This window comes from Homo sapiens, chromosome X (assembly GCF_000001405.40).
Source record: "Homo sapiens chromosome X, GRCh38.p14 Primary Assembly".
Taxonomy (NCBI): Eukaryota; Metazoa; Chordata; class Mammalia; order Primates; family Hominidae; genus Homo; species Homo sapiens.
The window spans coordinates 105,220,938-105,242,337 of NC_000023.11; the positions used below are offsets into that span (position 1 = coordinate 105,220,938).

At 38.1% G+C, this 21,400-nt stretch overlaps 1 protein-coding gene across 2 annotated transcripts in view; it reads left to right on the forward strand.

Annotated features, from left to right (window-relative positions):
* The window catches only part of IL1RAPL2 (interleukin 1 receptor accessory protein like 2), a 1,201,631-nt gene that overhangs the window by 654,739 nt on the left and 525,492 nt on the right, over positions 1–21,400 (forward strand). Inside the window, exons 1-2 of one of the 2 annotated variants that reach the window (XM_011530905.3) lie at positions 26–145; positions 12,881–13,067. In XM_011530905.3, coding sequence (XP_011529207.1) covers positions 12,897–13,067 — 171 coding nt within the window. In that variant the 5' untranslated portion in view covers positions 26–145; positions 12,881–12,896. Of the gene's footprint in view, positions 1–25; positions 146–12,880; positions 13,068–21,400 lie in introns of those variants that run through there. The other variant, NM_017416.2, reaches the window with a different exon arrangement.

The window sequence follows — 21,400 nt, forward strand, 5'->3', positions numbered from 1 at the left end:
AATGGTTTGTCCCATGCCAACGGCTAGTAGGGACCCCCCTAGAGGTTGAAGGGGGAATAATGGGTATGTTCTAGAACACGAAAAAGCCCCCAACCCATGAAAATTCTGCAGTTCATTTTCCAGACTCCTAAATCCTAGTATACAGGTTAGTGACCTTTTTCTGAAACGGGCAAGATAGCAGGCATTTGAGGCTTTGTGGGCAAAAGATTATCCCAACTACTTGTAGCACAAAAGCAGCCATAAATAATACCTGAAGAAATGACCATGGCCATGTTCTAATAAAAGTTCATTTATAAAACCAGGCAGTTGGCATGATTTGGCCTGTAGATGTCAAACTCCCAATCTAGATTCACATTTCATACATGTCCTACAGACACATACAATCAGAATGTTCATGATATGACTCCCCCTTTTCCCTGTTAAAAGAAAAACGTTAGACAACGTTAACAGTTTGTTTACACATAAACAACAACCAAAAAAAAAAAAAAAGAAAAACGAGTCATGAATTTGTCAGTACTCAGAACCAGAAGAGTTTCAGAGAGCTATTCCCAGCAACATGAGAAGTGAATTTTTATAGGCTGAGTTTGGACACAAAAGAGAAAAATCACCTGATTGGCTACAGCAAGGCATTTGCCTTATTTGGACATGGTCTTGTCACTTGACTGCCTGTAATTAGCTGGAGCCTGGCTAGTTGTGTTTGGCTGAAATTAGGCTGTCTTTTATACAGCTTATGTTAAGTTTCAGTCTGTTTACATGCTAAGTTAGTTTGCGGTTTGTTAGATAGGAACTCAAAGTATGGAAACAGCTTCAAACTAATGGCCTCTTGCTTATTTTAATATATGCAGGAGATGATTCCCCTCCTAAATTCCTATGTTGTCCAATACAGAAACCTCAAAATCAAATTTTTAAGTTACCTACCCTTCATACCGACCCTTAAAAACAAGTCAACTAAGAGACAAAATCTTGTTGCTGTGACCTCAGAAACTTCTAAGACATCCATGCCCACTTAGGGAATGTCCATGTTTCTTCTCAAATAATCTTCCTGTCTTTAATTTCTTCATAATCCCTAATCACTTCCTAATCTTTCCTATGATCATGTTTCTCTTAAGCTTAAAATCATTTGATGGATCCTTGTGGCACACTCCTTGTCCTGACATTAGAATCTCACCCCAGGATACCATTCTAATTTAACTCTCTCCACAATGTTATCCACCATCATTTATGTACCTAAGGGACTAAGCCATACAGGGATACACTGATTTTGGCGTTTTAAGTTATTTTCCCTTCTGAAAAATCAGAGCATTCATTTTTTATTATATGGGCATTATGTTCTATTCTATGAACTACATTTAAAAAGACAATATTTCTTCTCTAAGGGTCCTATGTCAGATAATTAGAGAGGAAAAAGACAATAAATCAAGCATTAAAATATTACCTAAGAAGGTAGTTAAACCCCAGAGGCATAAAGTCCCACCATTTAAATGCTGTTTTTAGATGCTGTTTTGTGATTTCTTTCCTTCTCAGCTTGTATATTTTATTTATCAGCCATCAGTGGAAAGGGTTCATGTTTTGGCTTATTCTAGAGTGACTTCTACAGAAAGAGCATCCAGAAGATAATGTAGAAAAGAGAATGGTGAGGAAAGGGGGAGAGACTGGAGTCAGGAAGACCCATTAGGGAGATGCTAAAGCAATTCAAGAAGTAAACTAAAGCAGTGGAAATAGGGATGGAGAGAAGAGTGTAGAGAGCCATTTGGTAGATAGAATGCATAGGGATGTCAGGGACAAGGATGAGGGAATGCTGAGGATAATGCCCAGGTTTCTGGTATAGGGGACTAAGTAGATAGCCCTGTTATTGACTAGTTGGAGAATGAAGAAGAATTTTTTGGGATGAGTTCACCTTTAGACATATTAACATTAAAATACCTGTTGGGGCCATGTGTGGTGGCTCACACCTGTAATCCTAGCACTTTGGGAGGCTGTGGTGGGTGGATCACCTGAGGTCAGTAGATGGAGACCAGCCTAGCAAACATGGCAAAATCCTGTGTCTACTAAAAATACAAAAATTAGCTGGGCGTAATGGCGCACGCCTGTAGTCCCAGCTACTTGGGAGGCTGAGGCACAAGAATAGCTTGTACCTGGGAGGCAGAGGTTGCAGTGAGCCGAGATCATGCCACTGCACTCCAGCCTGGGCAACAGAGTGAGATTCAGTCTCAAAAAAAAAAAAAAAATACCTGTTGGGCATCCTGGTGGAGATACTTAGTAGGCAGTTTGATATATGAGTCTAGAACTTAGGAGAGACATCAGAGCTGAAGATGTAGTATTGAGAGGTGAAAGCTGTATTTACAGCAGCGGTTGAAATAACTCAGGGACAGAATATGGAGCAAGAAGAGTAGAGGGCTGAGGACAGCACCGTGGCCTGCCTTCATGGATCTCCTCCTTTCTACAGCTGTGTGCTACCATTGGTGATTTTATAGTTGTCCCCCTTACTCCTTTGTGTTCTTGTCTACTAAGTTCAGAACATCTTTTACCTTATCTCTTTTATTCCCTCTATAATACTTTAAACATGAACTTCAGTTTGTGATTAGTTGTCTCTTTATACTGCCATTCTCCCACTTCCGCTTATAAACACTTTTAAGAAATTAAAAGTAAATTGTTTCTTTTAGCAGCCTGGAGGAGGGAGAAAGTGAAGACAGAGAAACCTGTTAAGAGGTTCCTTCAACAGTGCAGACAAAACATGATTAGGGCTTGAACTGTGGCAGGACCTCGATGAGATGTCAGATAACAAGAGATTTTTGACATACAGTTAGCATGACTTGTTAACCAATTGTATTAATATATGAGAAATAAATATGGGTGTTGGAGCGGAAAATGATTTTGAGGCATTTGACTTGAGAAACTAGGTTTTGTGACAAGTGATGCCTCAAATCGTAATAGATATGAGGAAAAATAGACTATAGAGAGGAGATAATAAATGCAGTTTTGGATTGACAAATGCCTTTGTGATAGTTATATTGAATTATAGTTGAATGGCTGTACTGGGCTGGAAGTTAGGTGAGAGGACAAAACTAGAGATATGTATTATAAATTTGGGTGTTTTCAGTGCTCAGTTTGTGGCTAAGACCTTGTGCTTCAATAAAATTGCTGGAGATGAAGGTTGGAAGGAGAGAATAAGCAGGACAAAAAAACAGAGGAAGGAATCCCGAGGTCTTGGAAAGGGTAGCAGATACCTTTAGGGATAGGATAAGGGAGAACAAGCAGTAGGAGTAGTCAGAGAAGTAGACAATCAAAAAAGGGAGATATTTTAGACCTAAGGAGAAATTTGGAAGGTAAAAAGAGTGTTATTAGTTTCATATAATGCACAGAGGTTACATAGGATGAGGGTGAACAAAAGGTCATTAGATTTAGCTAATAAGATATCCTTAGTGATTCAAGTGACGAGAATCAATAGAATGGTGAGGCAGGTGCCAGATGATAGGAGATCACAGAATGAAATTAGAGGAATAAGTAGAAATTTTGAATACTGACTAGTCTTTCAAGATCTCTGACACAGTAGAGAATTCTACCACCAGGAGTCAGAAAATAGATCATGGAAGCATAGGATATGACAGCTTATTTGGTGAGACAACTAAGTTATACAATTTTCAACACAAAGACGGGGAAAATAATCTGATATTTACTGTATGAAGAAAGGTAATCATATGTAAAGAAAACTCTGTGTTTTGCATTGTGACCCAGGAAATAAGGCCAAACCTTTGTGAATTCTATGATAGTAACTATGAAATAACATATTGACAGATGCAAAAATATCAGTGTAATCTGATATTTACAGAGAAAGAGTGAGGAAGTGAGAAATAGTTATTAGAGTCAGTGAAATTGGTTGGGGAAGGATTTCTGGAGGAGAGTTATGTTCTTGTTCTTAATAGAAACATCAGGGTTCTCCAAAGATTTATGAAGACCTTTCTGTTTGTAGCATGATGTGTCTCAGATTACCATTCTTAAAATTGTCTTCATCCAAACAAGAAAGCAGGAATCACTCATACTATGATGTGGACAATGGTGGTGTCAGGGAACCTTTCAAATTTACCTTCGTTATTACCTTACCTTTATCCACATCCTCAATCATTGGTAGTCAGATTTTGAACAAGCTGCCTGTACCCTTAGGTGGCATATTGCAACTGCCTTTCCCTTAGGAATGGTGACATGAGCTCACCACTAGAATGATCCACAATTCTTAGTTATATGTAAATGGATTGCTACATATATATGTACTGTATACTTTTTTCTTGAGTAGGTTTCTAACTTTAATGTACAGCCTCCAAATAAATTATAGTTTGCTTTGAATTCAAGGTGAAGAATATTTTGATGACAAAAATTTTATTTTGAGTGAGTAGTTTTTAAAATATACATAATGTTTACTATAACCTTGTCCACAAGCTACTTTTTTAAAAAACAATTACAAGAAGAAGAAAACAAAACATCTTTGATTCACTTTATGGGTTGGGTTGGGAATCGGTAGATAGCATGATAATAGTGGTGATAATGTTAAAGGAAATTAGTTTTTATTGAGTACTTAGTATATGCCAGGCACTGTGCTATGAGCTTTAAATGAACTATCTCATTGTTAGGAGAGAATTCTCCATGGGGCTTTTGCATTTTTTACATGTCTGTGAGCAGAGTATCCTTTGCCCTGGATTATCTTTTCAAAGGTGTATGTATAGAAAACATACTTTTATTTTATTTTATTTTATTTTATTTTATTTTTTTTTCTGAGACAGAGTCTCCTCTGTCACCCAGGCTGGAGTATAATGGCACGATCTTGGCTCACTGCAACCTCCGCCTCTCAGGTTCAAGTGATTCTCCCATCTCAGCCTACCAAGTAGCTGGGATTACAGGCACCCACCATCATACCCGGCTAATTTTTGTAGAGACAGGGTTTCACCATGTTGGCCAGGCTGGTCTTGAACTCCTGACCTCAGGTGATCTGCCTGCCTCGGCCTCCCAAAGTATTGGGATTACAGGCGTGAGCCCCCGTGCCTGGCCAGAGAATAGCCTTAGAAGATAGAAATAGTGTCTATCTCTAGAGCAAAAGGCAGGTTTGCTTATAGCCTTGGAAAATACAGTTAGTATCTGCCTCTGGAACAAAGGGCCGACATGCTTATGGCCCATTGTAAGAAATTTGTGTTTCTTAAGCTTGGGGTTCTTCTGTAATACAACCCAATACTTCTACAAGTATCACCTGATCCTCTTTGTATTATCCTATGGGAATTGAGTTTGTGTAAGCAACACAAATACTGATACTTTGGCTACTGTCATTGCTCCAATTAACTGTTTATTATTTCTGACCTAGGATTCTGGTGTCTTCTACCAGCTTCCATGAAACTGGCAGGCTAAATTTTTAGTGCATAAGTAAGGTAAAATTTCAGACCCTTTGCCATTCTTTCTTTTCCCTTTTTTTTTTTTTTTTTTTTTTTTTTTTTTGAGACAGTGTCTCACTCTGTTGCTCAGGCTGGAGTGCAATGGTGTGATCTCAGCTCACTGCAACCTCCGCCTCCTGGGTTCAAGTGATTCTCGTGCCTCAGCCTCCTAAGTAGCTGGGATTACAAGAGCATACCACCATGCCAGCTATTTTTTTGTTTTGTATTTTTAGTAGAGACAGAGTTTTGTTACGTTGGCCAGGCTGGTCTTGAACTCCTGTCCACAAGTGATCCACCCGCTTGGCCACCCAAAGTGCTGGGAATACAGGTGTGAGCCACTGGGCCCAGCCCCCGTTACCATTCTTAACACTTGCATAATAAAACAACCCTATTAAGTTAGCTGCTTTTATTATTCTCATTCCACGCATACCAAAAACTGAGATTTAGTCACCCATGCAAAGATCCATAGATAAGACATTATAGAGCTGGGATTTGAACCCAAGTCTAACTCTAAAAGCTGCATTATCAAGCAGTAAGCTACTCAAGTCCTTGGATTAACCTTTTATCTGACTGCATCATGAACTATAAGAAAGTTATGCTTAAATAATTCTGGGTTGCAGATTACCAGTGTCCTGTCAAAGGCTGAATGTTCATGTCAGCAGGAGATAAGAACAGTTAAAAAACACAGGAAGGGGAACATCACACTCTGGGGACTGTTGTGGGGTGGGGGGAGGGGGGAGGGATAGCTTTAGGAGATGTACCTAATGCTAAATGACGAGTTAATGGGTGCAGCACACCAGCATGGCACATGTATACATATGTAACTAACCTGCACATTGTGCACATGTACCCTAAAACTTAAAGTATAATAATAATAAAATAAAAAAATTATGATATGTTTATGCCCCCACAAATCCTTGTTTGTTTAATTACCAGGTTTACACCTTACGGAAAAAATGTACATAAACTTAAAACCTATTATATTGACATATTTACAGGCTAGAGATATCATCTATGAATGATGGCATTCTTTGTTCTGTTTTGTTTTATTTTAAAAAAACAATAAAACAAAAATCCCGGAGCTCTTTACAACTGTACAAGCCTAGAAGTAAGATGATTTACTTAAAGACTAAAAGTGACAAAAATGAGTTCATTCAATAGATCCTGTATCCCCAAACTTCTTCTTATTAGCATAGATATTTTTATCCTTATATTAGGTTTACATCTGCTTTTCAATGTATATAAACAGCATGACACATAGCAGGTGCCCATTAAATGTCATTTGAATGATTCTAAAGGGTTGTGGGTCTTCATAGAATAATAATACACAGTTCAGGGCTTTGGCCATCTTGGTCTTTTAATGCATTAACATTGCAAGTTTGCAGTTTTATGTAATTATTTATGCAGACATCTGAAAGTCCCCTTTCCAATCAAGCTTAAAAGATTTTTCAATAAAACTTTCTTTTCTTTTTTAATATTTGCAATTTAAACTTTTTTAAATAAGGTAAAATATACATATGTAATTTACCATCCTTACCATTTTAAATGTACAGTTCAGCTGTAATAAATACATGTATATTCTTTTTTCCCCCTTATCCCCCTTTACTAGAAAACCTTATTTTTCTAATGATTTTTGAGAAATAGAACTTATCAAAGGGCTTGAGATCTTGTTTGTTTATTCATTTGTTTTCCTTCCTTGAATTTGCTACAGTATCAGTTGCTAGTTCTTATGTTTTAACGTCAGTCTTATTCAATGACTGTAGATCGATTAATTGATGTTATATGTAGCAAATCAATTCACCTTATAAAATTTCAGACAGTAAAGCTTGTTTTAGTTTCCTTATCATTAGATGGTCTCTGAAATTTACAAGGAAAGTATTTTGAAGTGAGGATAAGACAATCGAATAAATCAGTTAGGAAAGTTTCAACTATATCCTGAGGCATTTTATCTAGGGCTTTTGATTTTAGGTACAAGAAAGATCCCTAATTTATTTAGATTATTTTCACCAGCTTAGTCCTGGTGATACGACAAGTTCACATATGCTCAAACTCTAAAACAAAACTTTATAATATGGGCATGTTTTATAAATGTGAGTTAGAAAAGGAATTTGGATGTTTCATGTGTATTTTAAATTATGAGTTTTACTTTTCTCCCCAGAGAACCCAAGATTGATCAATATTTTCCCTTAGAAATACATCTGGGTAAAAAGTTCTAATTATGACCTAAACAAGCTAACATTAAACCTTTGGAATAGAAAGCAAGGTTTATTTATAAATTTTCTAATTCTGTGCTATGCAAATTAACATTATTCCTTAGATGTTATGTTACACATCTGCTCTTCTTTCTATCAGCTTCCTCAAGTTGGTACGGATAACCACAAGTTAGTTTGACTGTTGAGCAATGTTAGCATCAAGTTCTGAGAGTATCCAGGGGCTAGCAGCCAATAAACCTTGGTTCTGAACTACTGACCAGCTACGTCAGCTTGACAAAGTTCTTTGTCCTCTCTGTGTCTATGTTTTACTCCTGTAAGGGATACTTACCCTGCCCATTTTCCAGGGTTATTGGGATAATTAAGTAAGATAATACACATAGAAGTACTTGGAAAGATTACTAACATGTGTAATTGTAAGTTGTTGCTGCAGTATCATTGCAAAGGCCTTTTGCCTACATTGAGCCTGAATGTGTTCCTTGTCTTCCTCAGGATGTGAAGTAGGGAGAGAAAAAATACCATCTCCATTCTTGCACACTCGTCAGTCTGCCTCCTCAACCTCACATAGCTCTAATTGTACCTAATGAAAGTAACATTTTTAGGTCCCAGTTGCAGGAAATATTTTAAATAGAACCAGCCTGGGGCATTTTTCAAAATAAAATCTAAATAATGCAAGATTGTTAGCACGAACTGTGCCAGGGCTGGATTACACAACTAATAAAAATCAACCTGAGTTTCAGACTGTCAGGCAGCATTGATTATACCTCCCCCAGGTCACCTGAGGTGATAGCAGGACTCACATCAGACCTTGTCTTTAAGTTCTAGGGACCTCGGTCATCCTCAACGACTTCATACTAGGACTTGTTCATGAGTTAACAAAGCAGTTTGTCAGCATCTATTCACATGTCAGCATCTATTCACATGTCAGTGACCACAATGAGAGTGTATACATACTGGGCCCTGGCTTAAAGTTGTTTGTGGCTAAGGATTAGGAAGGACACACTTCCTCCTTCAACTCATCAGCCATCTCCAGGGTGGCTTCCTTGCCTTTAACACCACCCCAAATCAATACAAATGCTGCTGACACCATCTACGTTGTTTATACTTTGGAGAGGTCAGGGAACGAACACATGAATGGCTCTTGTCTTGTGCCTGGAAACCTGGCTTTGAGGTCTCTGGGCTTTGTTATAGAAGGCATTTGTCTAAGAAGCTCCCAGAAGTAAATTTTTTGTTTGTTTGTTTGTTTGTTTTTTTGAGACAGAGTCTCACTCTGTCACCCAGGCTGGAGTGCAGTGGCACGATCTCAGCTCACTGCAACCTCTGCCTCCTGGGTTCAAGCGATTTTCCTGCCTCAGCCTCTGGAGTAGCTGGGACCACAGGCGCGTGCCACCACGCCTGGCTAATTTTTTGTATTTTTAGTAGAGACGGGGTTTCATTGTGTCAGGCAGGCTGGTCTCAATCTCCTGACCTCGTGATCCACCCGCCTAGGCCTCCCAAAGTGCTGGGATTACAGGCGTGAGCCACCATGCCCGGCCAGAAGTAAACCTTTTTAAGTGGAGCTTTTACTACCTCTTTGACCTCCAAGGTTCTAGCCTCTGCCTAGTAGTTAGTACTCAGAGTGCCTGGAAGTTCCTTCCTGCCTTAGCTGCTTTCTCTTGATACACTTCTTTTTGTGCCTAAGTCAATGTATCTTTTTGATCCTCTCAGACCTACATGGCTCTCTGGTATTAGACCTTTTGCCCAACTGACCTCTTCCAGACTGTTTCCTGTCAAGTAGCACTTCTAACCCAGCAGACTGTTTTAACCCACTGCTGCCAGTGTGTTGTTTTTATATTGCTCATGATTATTATATCACATGTAAATTATAAGTATTATATATTAGATATGTATATTATACATATATGCATATTAGTTATATATGTATACATATATATTAATTATACATATATATAATTATTATATATATCTTTTAATATATTTAACAATGCTGGCAATACCTACAATTCTAATTAGAGATACAATTGTTTGAATACCTACTTTTTGATAGATCCTGTATTAGGTATTTTACATACATTATTTTATTTAATACTTACAGTGATCTGAACAGGTCAGGTATAAAAATGTAAACCTGTTTTTACTCATAGTTTTATAATGAAAGGAAATCCTTCCTCCCACCTTCAATGGAGCCACCATAAACAGCTTCTTATCCTCATGTTTCAGGTGAAGAAACTGAGACTCAGAGAGGTTAAACAATTTGTCCAAGGTCACAGAACTAGTTGAGTCTAGTGAGGCTTAGTTTAAAGATGATGCTTTGTTAAGAAACCACTATATCAGATTGGTCCTCTACTTTAGTCTACCCTATTTTCTACCCAGGGATAAATACATCTGGGACAGTTAGCTTCTTTCAGAGCATTGAACATTTCACCTGCTTCTATTATTGAGATCTCTGGTCAACACTTCTCCTTCTGTGGAGGTATAACATAATAATTGAAAATTTTTTAACAAGTATGTCTCTTTCACCTGTATGAGTGAACACCATGGAGCAGATATGATCAAAGTCAGTAACATCAAGAACTGTTCAGAACACTTTGGATATCCAGCAGAGATGATTACCTTTCTTCTGTGTTAGATACTTTTTAAATAACTGTGACCATTTAGCTTCCCTCTATCCCCTGCCCCTGCCGGTCATTCTTGTCTTTCAGATGTAGCCAATATTTTTAATTCTTTGCCAATATGCTGCTGCACAAAACTTGGCTAATCTTCCTCCTAGTGGCTATCCACAAATACCTGCAAATTATCCGGGTCATACTTATACAAGGAATGTGATATTTGACAAGCCATATACCTTCATCTGAAGGAATGTGATATTTGACAAGCCATATACCTTCATCTGAAGAAAGGGGGATATATACCATATGGGACTGATACAAAAATGGAAAAAAAATAACATGTCTCTCAAATAGATACCTTTTGATGCCCATTCATTTAATCAACTAACGTTTACTAAGCATCTACTATCTATTCATTTAGATCCCAGGGATGGTGTAATTAACAAGAGCAACAAATTCCTTGCCCTTTTTAGTGCATACTTTAACAAATAAACAAATATTAGAAGATCAGATAAGAGCAAGTACAAAGGCCTATTGTTTGAATAGGCTTAGTGTGTTCAATGAACAGAGAAAATGCCAGTGTGGCTGCACCCTAATGAGTAAAGGAGAGAATGTTATGTTGAGCTAGATCATGTATGGCCTTGTATCAAGCAAGGAGACTTGGAAATATTTAACACTGAAGTGTTTAAAAAATGGTGAAAAAGAGCTCAATTGATTGAGCTAAATTGATTTACCCTTCTTCTCTGAGATTACTACTGTTGTGGCTTTAGCTTCATGGCATTTAAAGAGGCTGTCCAATGTCTGACAAGAACATAAATGTTTCTTTCACTTAATCCCCAGTGGGCATATCTTATGACCTTTGTGTTCCAGGAACCCATGTAGAGGAAGAAAGAAAAGCAAATCCCACAGTCTACATAGTGTGATGGGGTTGCATCTAAACATCAGAATTGGAGTGCTTTGATAGTTTCCTTCTCAGATGACACAGGCCTGGGCATAGTCAGGGGTGCTTGCCAGAAATTAACTTTACCAGAAGCCTAAGTAGGAGTCATTCTTATTAACTTAGTTTGTAAACCCAAGAGGCATCGCCATCTGGATTCCTGTGTTTTGCATGATGTCGGGGATATAAAATTTCAATGAGTGACTACTAAGCAGTATGAACAGTGCCGATCATTTGGTACTGTCTGAAAATTATTGGTTGGCATGCTAATCCCATCTGTTAGGATTGTTATTACTCAGTTATAAAGCACTTGGTTTGAATTGCCACCCTTGGCAATTTTAGTTTTGACAGCACGTATCCCTTGATGTTTAAAACAGATATGGTCCTGAAATGTCTTCCATAAAGTAAAATTGAATACTCCAAGATTTACAGCTGATCTTCATAGTGTTATCAGGCTGCTTCTGATTTCTTCCTCACACTTTTCCATTTTCTTTTGTGTTTGACATCTTCTGGAATCCAGATAAGGTAGGGTAGAGAAAGGTCATGGATTATACATAGAAAAATAAAGGCAGAATTTGTATTTATTTATATTTATTGTAGTTAGTTAGATTAATTAAATATGTTTATTGAACTCACATTATTGAGAAAGTGTTAACCAAAGTACAAGAAGACAGAATTTTTGTTCAATAAATACCCTTCTGTAATGTGTTAGCCAATTAATGCCCAATTTCTAAAGTGGCCTTATGATAACATTCTGTGTTGAGAATTCTTTATAATGCTAGTGCTGGTTGATACAATTAATCCCAACTGACCAGACTCTAGTAGGATTTCTTCTTTATAAAAGCCCAAAATTCAACACCTGGCACATCTTAGTGAGTACCTTAAAAAGCTGAATAGTTGGCCAGGCGCCGTGGCTCATGCCTGTAATCACTTTGGGAGGCCGAGGCGGGCGGATCACGAGGTCAGCAGATCCAGACCATCCTGGCTAACAGGGTGAAACCCCGTCTCTACTAAAAATACAAAAAAATTAGCCGGGCGTGGTGGCGGGTGCCTGTAGTTCCAGCTACTCGGGAAGCTGAGGCAGGAGAATGGCTTGAACCCGGGAAGCAGAGCTTACAGTGAGCAGAGATAGCGCCACTGCACTCCAGCCTGGGCGACAGAGCGAGGCGCCGTCTCAAAAAAAATCTGAATAGTTAACAGGTAAATTAACCTGTAAGCTAACAGATATCCTCTGTATGTTGATCTGGTTTTTAGTATATATTCTGTATCAGGAAATATTGGCTGAGAAACCAATAGTAAAATTAAACTATCCCTGTAGTAACTGTTAAAGGACTGGCCACAGGGACAGAGCAAAAATGGCTACAGCTCCAGTTATAGAGAGACTTTCTCACAGGTTTTTATTATCAGATTTTCAACATAGCAATATTTATTGCTGGGAAAGAAGTCAGACTATCTTACAGTTTGGAAGATGGGTATAGCTTCTCTATGTAGCTCTGTGGCTACCTCATGGCCACAAATATCCACATTAGCAATTAGTTTCATATCTTCTAGTCAGTTGCAGCATAAAACTGCTCTGTGTTGCTTTGATGTTTTTTTCTGATTTCTAGGCAAGGTCCTAAATGGAAAAGCCAATACTCTTGAAATATATAGAGCACAAACAAAGTTGTAAACACCCAATAAAGCCATTTTGTTATTTCTCTGTTCCTACAGAAACTCAACATATTGCATGAAGGTGTCAATGTCCTTGACTGTTGCAGAGAATGAATCAGGCCTGTGCTACAACAGCAGGATCCGCTATTTAGAAAAATCTGAAGTCACTAAAAGAAAGGAGATCTCCTGTCCAGACATGGATGACTTTAAAAAGTCCGATCAGGAGCCTGATGTTGTGTGGTATAAGGTAACTCAGCATGGTGTCAAATTCATATTTTACCTCAGTCAATAGCAGTCTTGGGGATGAGGAAAGGGAGATTTTTTTACTAGTTTTTGGTATTAGATATTTCACTGAGAAGAATCAACAGATCCATAACTAAATAATTCAGAGCTGTGACTCTTATGTATCACTGGTTTTTAATGCAGGTGTTAGAAGCAATACGCCTTTCTCCAACTGCTAAAAGTAGAATCTCCCTCCAGCCTGACAGCATATAAGAACTAATGGGAAGAAGGGTAAACATTTAAATAACACTTGAAAGAAATTATTTGGGGGACACAGAAATATTATTTACTGGTGGGAACAAAGGCCTGCCATTACAAGTAGTAGTACTTATAAAGAATAACAACTATCATAATGGTCTACTCTGTGAAAGCCACAACAGTGAATGCAGAGGAGAGAAATGGGCCCAGTACAGGATGTATAAACACTGCTAAGGTTAAGTTTAGCTGGAAATAAACCACACTCAAAGGTTGAACAGAAGAGAATTGTGGCCAGGTGCAGTGGCTCATGCCTGTAATCCCAGCATTTTGGGAGGCTGAGGCGGGCAGTTCACCTGAGGTCAGGAGTTCGAGACCAGCCTGGCCAATATGGTGAAACCTCATCTCTACTAAAATATAAAAATTAGCTGGGCATTGCAGCACACACCTGTAATCCCAGCAACTTGGAAGGCTGAGGCAGGAGAACCACTTGAACATGGGAGGCAGAGGTTGCAGTGAGCCGAGATCATGTCACTGTACTCCAGCCTGGGCAACAGAGCGAGACTCCATCTAAAAAAAAAAAAAAAAAGAAGAGAGTTGAATGAAAGGATTATTTACAAAGGTTTGGGCAGGCTTGAAGAAATCAATAAAGGAGCAAGCTGTTGATTATCACCCCTAGACCTGCAGTGTCAAGGGGAAGGAGCAGTGTCACTGGAACCTGGCAAGAGTGGAGGAAGCTGCCAAGAGATACAGCCTTAAAGGAACATATGAGGGTGGCAGATAGGAAGGGAGTGGGTAGGATAAATACCCTAACCATTTATAACTCCTGCTCTCTGTTTATTTGCTAGTTGCTTCCCTCTCCTGCCACCCTCATTCAAACTGAAACAGAAGCCAGGGGGCAGAGGCAGGAGATAGAATCAATAGTGTTCTGCTTTTCTGAGCATAGAGTAGAGCAGACAAGCGTGGATAATTGGATCTAGGGGAAGAAGCAGATAATAACCACACAACCTTCCAGCTATGATATTCTAGCAGCTAACCTGGGGCCCACGGTCTTGTAACAGAACTAAGTCAACTCTCTTCTGTCAGCTCTGAACCACAGCAATTGACACACTGAAGTTTTATGATGTGATGGTAGATGACCAGGAAGGTTTTCTGCACAGATGCTGTGTGTACTGTTGGAACCAAACACACATAAAAGGTGGAGCAGGTTGTTTCTATAGGATCTGACAGACCCTCAGTTCCTAGGGAAGCTTAATCCCTAACTCCCACAGCTGTCATATGCCTTTACATTTGGAAGCCTCTCCATTTTCACACCTAGGGAAACTTACCAATAGACACCAAGAACATACTCTGTACTAGAACGTCCAGGTCTCAATGGGAATTATCTTAATGAAGACAATATTGTGACAGATAAAAAGGAACATAATGTTTATTATGCACAAACATATAGACTACAGGTAATTTGGTGGGTTTATGCCATCATCAACCTCATTTGTATTTATTAAGCACTTATTGTGTGCCATTCATTGTAGCTAAACTTGATTTCAACATTATCTTGTTTAAATCTCAGTGCAACTCTGTGTGATAGGTGCTATTATCCTAATTTAATGGAGAACAAAACCACTGAGGCTGAGAGAGATGTGACCTATCCAAAGTTACACAGTGAACAAAGCCTGATTTTCTATTCAAGGCAGTGTGACTCCAGAATTCATTTTCTTAATCACTACCCTCTCCGGCAATGGGCCTGGGACTAAACCCAGCCTTGGTCATATCTTGGGAACTTTTGTAAGATGCCATGCTGGTGCAGTGGAGCCTGGCCAAAGAAAGAAAAAGAAAGTTTTATTTTAATTTTATGGTTGAGGAAGGGAAGGTGACCTGCCCAAAGAGTTAGCAGCTGGGAGTGAAATCCAGATAATCAACTTTCCCTTATAAGAGTAATTCTACTATCTCATCTTACTTTCTGCTAACTTCTTTCTTCTCCTTTTCTCATATCTCTAGACATCACTATCATCCTTACATACTCAAGCAATTTACTGCTTGGCAAATGCCACTTCTCACTCTTCCTTAGAAATGGACCAACAATGGTGAAGCAACAGGCCTTTCCAGCTCTGCCTGGATAATATTTAATATTTCTATAATATTTTACAGTTGATAAATGATCATCATAATGTTAGCTAACATTTCCTAAGTACTTACTGTATGGCAAGCTGTGTTTTAGGTGCATGAGATAGATTAATGCAATTCTTAGAACTACCATATAAGGTAATATTATCTCTATTTTATAGAAGAAGTGACTGGAGACTCAGACAAGCTAAGTGGGTTAGCAAAAGTCAACAGTAGTTTGTGACTTGCAGTTTGGCTACTAGCCCCACTCTTAGCCCCTACAGTATACTAACGGATTAGGATAAAATACTAGAATCAGAAGTTAAAGAGTACCTGAAGCTCAGGAATGTATTGCTAACTCTTGGTTCTCATACAAGGTTTCAAGTAAATACCTGAAGAAAATGTACCAACATATTAGGAAAATATTTCTTTTTCAGTCAGTATTTGGATAGTCTGCCTTGCCTACTTTATAGCCCATGTATTTTCTTTTTTTATTTATTTTTTAAATTTTATTTTTTATTATTATACTTTAAGTTGTAGGGTACATGTGCACAATGTGCAGGTTTGTTACATATGTATACATGTGCCATGTTGGTGTGCTGCACCCATTAACTCATCATTTACATTAGGTGTATCTCCTAATGCTATCCCTCCCCCATCCCCCCACCGCACAGCAGGACCCAGTGTGTGATGTCCACCTTCCTGTGTCCAAGTGTTCTCATTGTTCAATTCCCACCTATGAGTGAGAACATGCAGTGTTTGGTTTTTTTGTCCTTGCAATAGTTTGCTGAGAATGATGGTTTCCAGCTTCATCCATGTCCCTACAAAAGACATGAACTCATCATTTTTTATGGCTGCATAGTATTCCATGGTGTATACCCACATTTTCTTAATCCAGTCTATCATTGTTGGACATTTGGGTTGGTTCCAGGTCTTTTCTATTGTGAATAGTGCTGCAATAAACATACGGTGTGCATGTGTCTTTATAGCTGCATGATATATAATCCTTTGGGTATATACCCAGTAATGGGATGGCTGGGTCAAATGGTATTTCTAGTTCTAGATCCCTGAGGAATCGCCACACTGTCTTCCACAATGATTGAACCAGTTTACAGTCCCACCAACAGTGTAAAAGTGTTCCTTTTTCTCCACATTCTCTCCAGCACCTGTTGTTTCCTGACTTTTTAATGATTGCCATTCTAACTGGTGTGAGATGGTATCTCATTGTGGTTTTGATTTGCATTTCTCTGATGGCCAGTGATGATGAGCATTTTTTCATGTCTTTTGGCTGCATAAATGTCTTCTTTTGAGAAGTGTGTGTTCATATCCTTCGCCCACTTGTTGATGGGGTTGTTTTTTTCGTGTAAATTTGTTTGAGTTCTTTGTAGATTCTAGATATTAGCCCTTTGTCAGATAAGTGGATTGCAAAAATTTTCTCCCATTCTGTAGGTTGCCTGTTGACTCTGATGGTGGTTTCTTTTGCTGTGCAGAAGCTGTATTTTCTACCAGGCTGAGCAAGTTTTGCTCTGTCTATAGCAATATAAAGAAGAGGATACATTTGTCCAGAGTTTATTCTGGTGCTCATTCAAAGTTAGAAATGTCCAGTGTGTTAAAAGAAAAATTTCAGCCAAATTAAATTTAAAAGATTAATTGAGCAAAGAGTGATTCACAAATCAGGCAGTCTTCTGAGCCAGAGTAAGCTCAGAGACTCCAGTGCAGCCAAGTGGTAGAAGAATATTTATGGACAGAAAAAGGAAAGTGATGTACAGAAAATGGAAGTGAGGAACACAAACAGCTGGATTGGTTATAGCTCTGTGCCTTATTTGAACACGGTTCAAACAGTTGGCCACATTTGATTGGTCAAAACTTAGTAATTGGCACAAGAGTAGGCTATGGTCTATTTACACCTCCACTTGTTATAGTTGACAGTGTACAGAGAAACCTTTAGGCCTAACTTAAAATATGTAAGAAAGCAGCTTTAGGCTAAACATGATTTAACAATTTCCCCCTTTTATTCATCCTCTCATTTTGAGAGATTGACCAAAACTTTAGTCATTGATGTCACTATCACCATCATAAATGTACTTATTTGGCCTTGAAACCCACTGAAAAATAGCAGAACAGTGGGTTGTGTAAGGTGTGAACAAGGACTTCAGGTCATTTTTTTTTTTTGTAAGGGTTAGAGTAGAGGATAACTTCTTAGTCTGGAACATCCTGTTTACAGGAGAAAAAGACAAAACCCAGTCTGTTCTAGGATATATGTGTTTCCTTAAAGTCTTAGTTTGATTATGTTACATTTAGCACAAGTGAGTCCCTTTTGGTTTTGTCTGGTCTGTTGGGGCCTAGTGCATGACATGAGCTGAGTCCAAAACAATGGCCTCCCATAATTTTGTTTAAAAATTCCCCCCTTTTTGTCAGGTTCTCACTTAGGTGAGAGTGTGCCACTCTCAGTTACCGTCATTTTGGGTTTCCAGGTCTCAGCAATTCATTCATAGGTTATGATGCCCTCATGGTCACACATTTCCTTCAGCTATTGGCATTCCAATTGAATAGACAACATTTGCCATTCTTGAGATGGCTGAATGCAAACGTTTAAAACTTTTGAGAGAATACAGTACACCAAGGGGACTACTATTATGATTGTCAGGAGGATAATACCAAGAGTTTGGAGTATGCCCCTTACCTAGGGTCACCAGGAACCAAACCAACTAAAATCAAATAGATCAAAGAATGAGCTAAAGAGTCTACTCACTTTAACTAAGCAGTCTCTTCATTAATCTCCTACACTGAATCTCTATAATACCTGATGGGATATATTTCTCCACAGGCCACAAGCACCAGCAGTTGCACAGATACTTCTGATACTTCTCTGTTTAGCCAGTAAGTAATCTAGAGCAATTCTATTATTTAGCATAATTTTCACAAGAGAATTTAAAATCTGTTGTGTAACCATAGCCTTTACAGTAGAATCAGTTATAGAGCCTATCATAAGGGATACATTTCTAATTATTCCATCTTTTACTCCACACCATGGAAAAAAGCACTTAACAAATGATGCCTTTCTAGAAGAATGAAGGACTCCCGGCAATGTTGTCTTTAACCCATGATGTAGATTAAAAGGAGTGAACCAACATTCTGTTTCTGACTATCAGGCAACGTATGTACCATTAAAGTTATTCACCTACATTGGGCCTTCATTTTTCATCTATCAAGGCATACGGTTATCCATGTATAAGGCTGGTTATCCATGTATAAGGCTGGCCATTTTTTTTTCTGGGGAGAAACTTCCCTGGGTAGCTTTACCTTAAGGGTTCTAACGGGTGTATAGTTCCATAAGTGTGGAGCAACCCTCCCTCAGTTGTGAGATTATAAGCCCAAGGTTCAATGTCCCTTAGCTTTGCTGCAGTGTGGATGGCAAAGGAAGTCCTTCTCTGATGTTCTCGGAAGATCCAGTCTTTGAGTTCTAGATTGTGAAGGGGTTGATTGTCTTCAGTTAGTGAACCGTAAAAATCTTTTATTCCTGGTGAAAATACATTGTGACGTAATAATCTGTTATAACATCACCCTTCTCGCAAGGAAAAGCTTTGATACAACCAGAAAACATACATTGAAAATGACAATTGAATGAAATCCCTCTATAAATGTTTAAATGACCCATCAGGTAGCTGAATGTATCTGAAGATTTGAGTGTCTTCCCAGGAATACGGGTTTGACAAATTAAACATTGGTTATAAACTATTTTAGCAATGTACAAGTCACCACAACAATATATATTTAATTTGGATTATTTTATCTTTTTCATGAGTCATGGAATGCAGAACTTTTAATAACAAAAACTTTAAGGACTCAGGAAGGACAAGGCAGCTGCCCTGGTTCTCCATGAGTCCATACTTAACATTGGTCTTATGTCCTCTTGAATACCAATTGTTTCTCCAATTTAGGTGCGTAGCACTGATAACTGATGGGTTATCATAGGTCATTTGACTTAGACCATGGAGTTCATTCAAATTGTGTATCTATACAATTTTGGTATTGGCTGATTTAGCATGATAATCTGGCAAAGTGTCTTCTTGGTATTCAATTAATTTTTGTTCTACTTGGGTTAGCAGTTATATAAACCAGTCTTTTCATTGAAGTTCCAGGAATTCTTACCCAGTCCAAATGATATGACTCTAAAGTTATGAGAAACCCGTATTCAAGAGTGCTTTTCAGGGTCCTTTCCAACCTTCTAAAAGACACCATATTTCTAGGATTTTGCATGCTTGTGAATTTTTCAGAAACTGCATCAGAATTAAGCAATTAACTAGCAATGACTTCAAGTAAAGACACAGTTGACAAGGAAATTTGGTTATTTCTGTGGTCTACAATAAATTAACATAATAACCATAATTATAATTGATATCATATACTCAGACAGTAGAATTTTAGAAATCCCATAACATTTTGGAACATATATTAATGAAATTCATTAAAATATAACCTAAAGAAGGTTAATGATTATTTCTGGCTGGGCGTGGTAGCTAACGCCTGTCATCCCAACACTTTGGGAGGCTGAGGCAGGCGGATCTTTTGAGGTCAGGAGTTTTAGACCAGAGGCTGAGGCATGAGAATGGCTTGAACACAAGGGGAGGGTGGGGAAAGGTTGCAGTGAGTGAGCTGAGAGCGCACCACTGCACTACGCTCCAGCCTGGGTGACAGAGTGAGACTGTCTCAAAACAAACAAATAAACAAACAAAAATTTCTTATTTTGACGGTGCTTCCCATGTAACTTAATATATCAAATAATCCTGTTTACCTCTCTTTTGGATGCTTCAGGGGCCCTCTGTAGCATCCTAAAGTTAGTGGTCAAAAGAGACTTAATTTCGAAATTGGAATTTGACTTGGGGAAGCCTGTCAAATATGTTAAATGTTTAAAACATTTGATATTATGAAATAGAATTCCATGTCACCATAAATCATTCATTTTGCCAAAATAATGACTCAAAAATTTTAAAGATGTAAAAACCTTTACTCATTGATAGAGGAAAGACTTAGCTTTCCAAACAATCTGTCTCTTGTCTTTCCCTTCTTTCTCCTGTAGTTTATTCAAAAGGCAAACAAAAATCTTTCATTATTCTTTAATATTACATGAAAATCTCATTCAAGAAAGAAAGCCAAATTTCATCCTTGCATTAGTATACTGTTAATGTCAACCCCAATTTTTAATAAAACCTAGTAGACAAATCTATCTAATCTTAATCAGTTTTACCATAAGGTGAGATTCACATAAATCTTTTATAACCCATTACAAATTTTCATTAAATAGTAGATCAGTGCTCTAAGAAAACCCTTTTGTGCTTTTATTTCAATGTTCAATTTACAAAAAAACTGAACAATACCCCCTTTAAATTTAGCCAATATGTTCACATGTAGAATTTCTCTTACAAGTTTAATTTTTCACAATCTTCCACAACTTGCTCAACTTTCAGCTTTATCCTATCTAACCTAAATCGTCATTTAACCCTTTAATCTAGGCACAAAAATCCACATTCCCATGCCTTCTTATAATCTTTTACCAAAAGCCTACTTCACTTTCCTCACACATTTTGCATGTAAAACTCTTTCTTCAGTAGTCTCAATTACATGTTAGAATCTCAACTCTTAGCAATTTTTATTTTTAGTGAAAAACCCGGTAAGGAAGTGATTTTAATTATGTACTAGGTGTGGGGCCTAGGACAACAGACTGAAGTGCAGGTAAAGTCCAACTCTTTCCATCATAGCTAGGGGCATGGTTAACTCCATGTGTCCCTAGGCCTTATCTAGAATCTAATGGCTCTAAAGCAGGTAAGTCTAACAATTTTCAAAAGTCAAAGGAGCAGTTTATGACATCAAAGCATTTAGCAAACCTAATATCCGACCTGCCTAATTTAGACCAAATGTCTTTATTTTACCAATAATCTTATAAAACTGTGTTTATTTCCCAAAGATTACTAAAGTCATGTGAACTAAAAGACATTACAG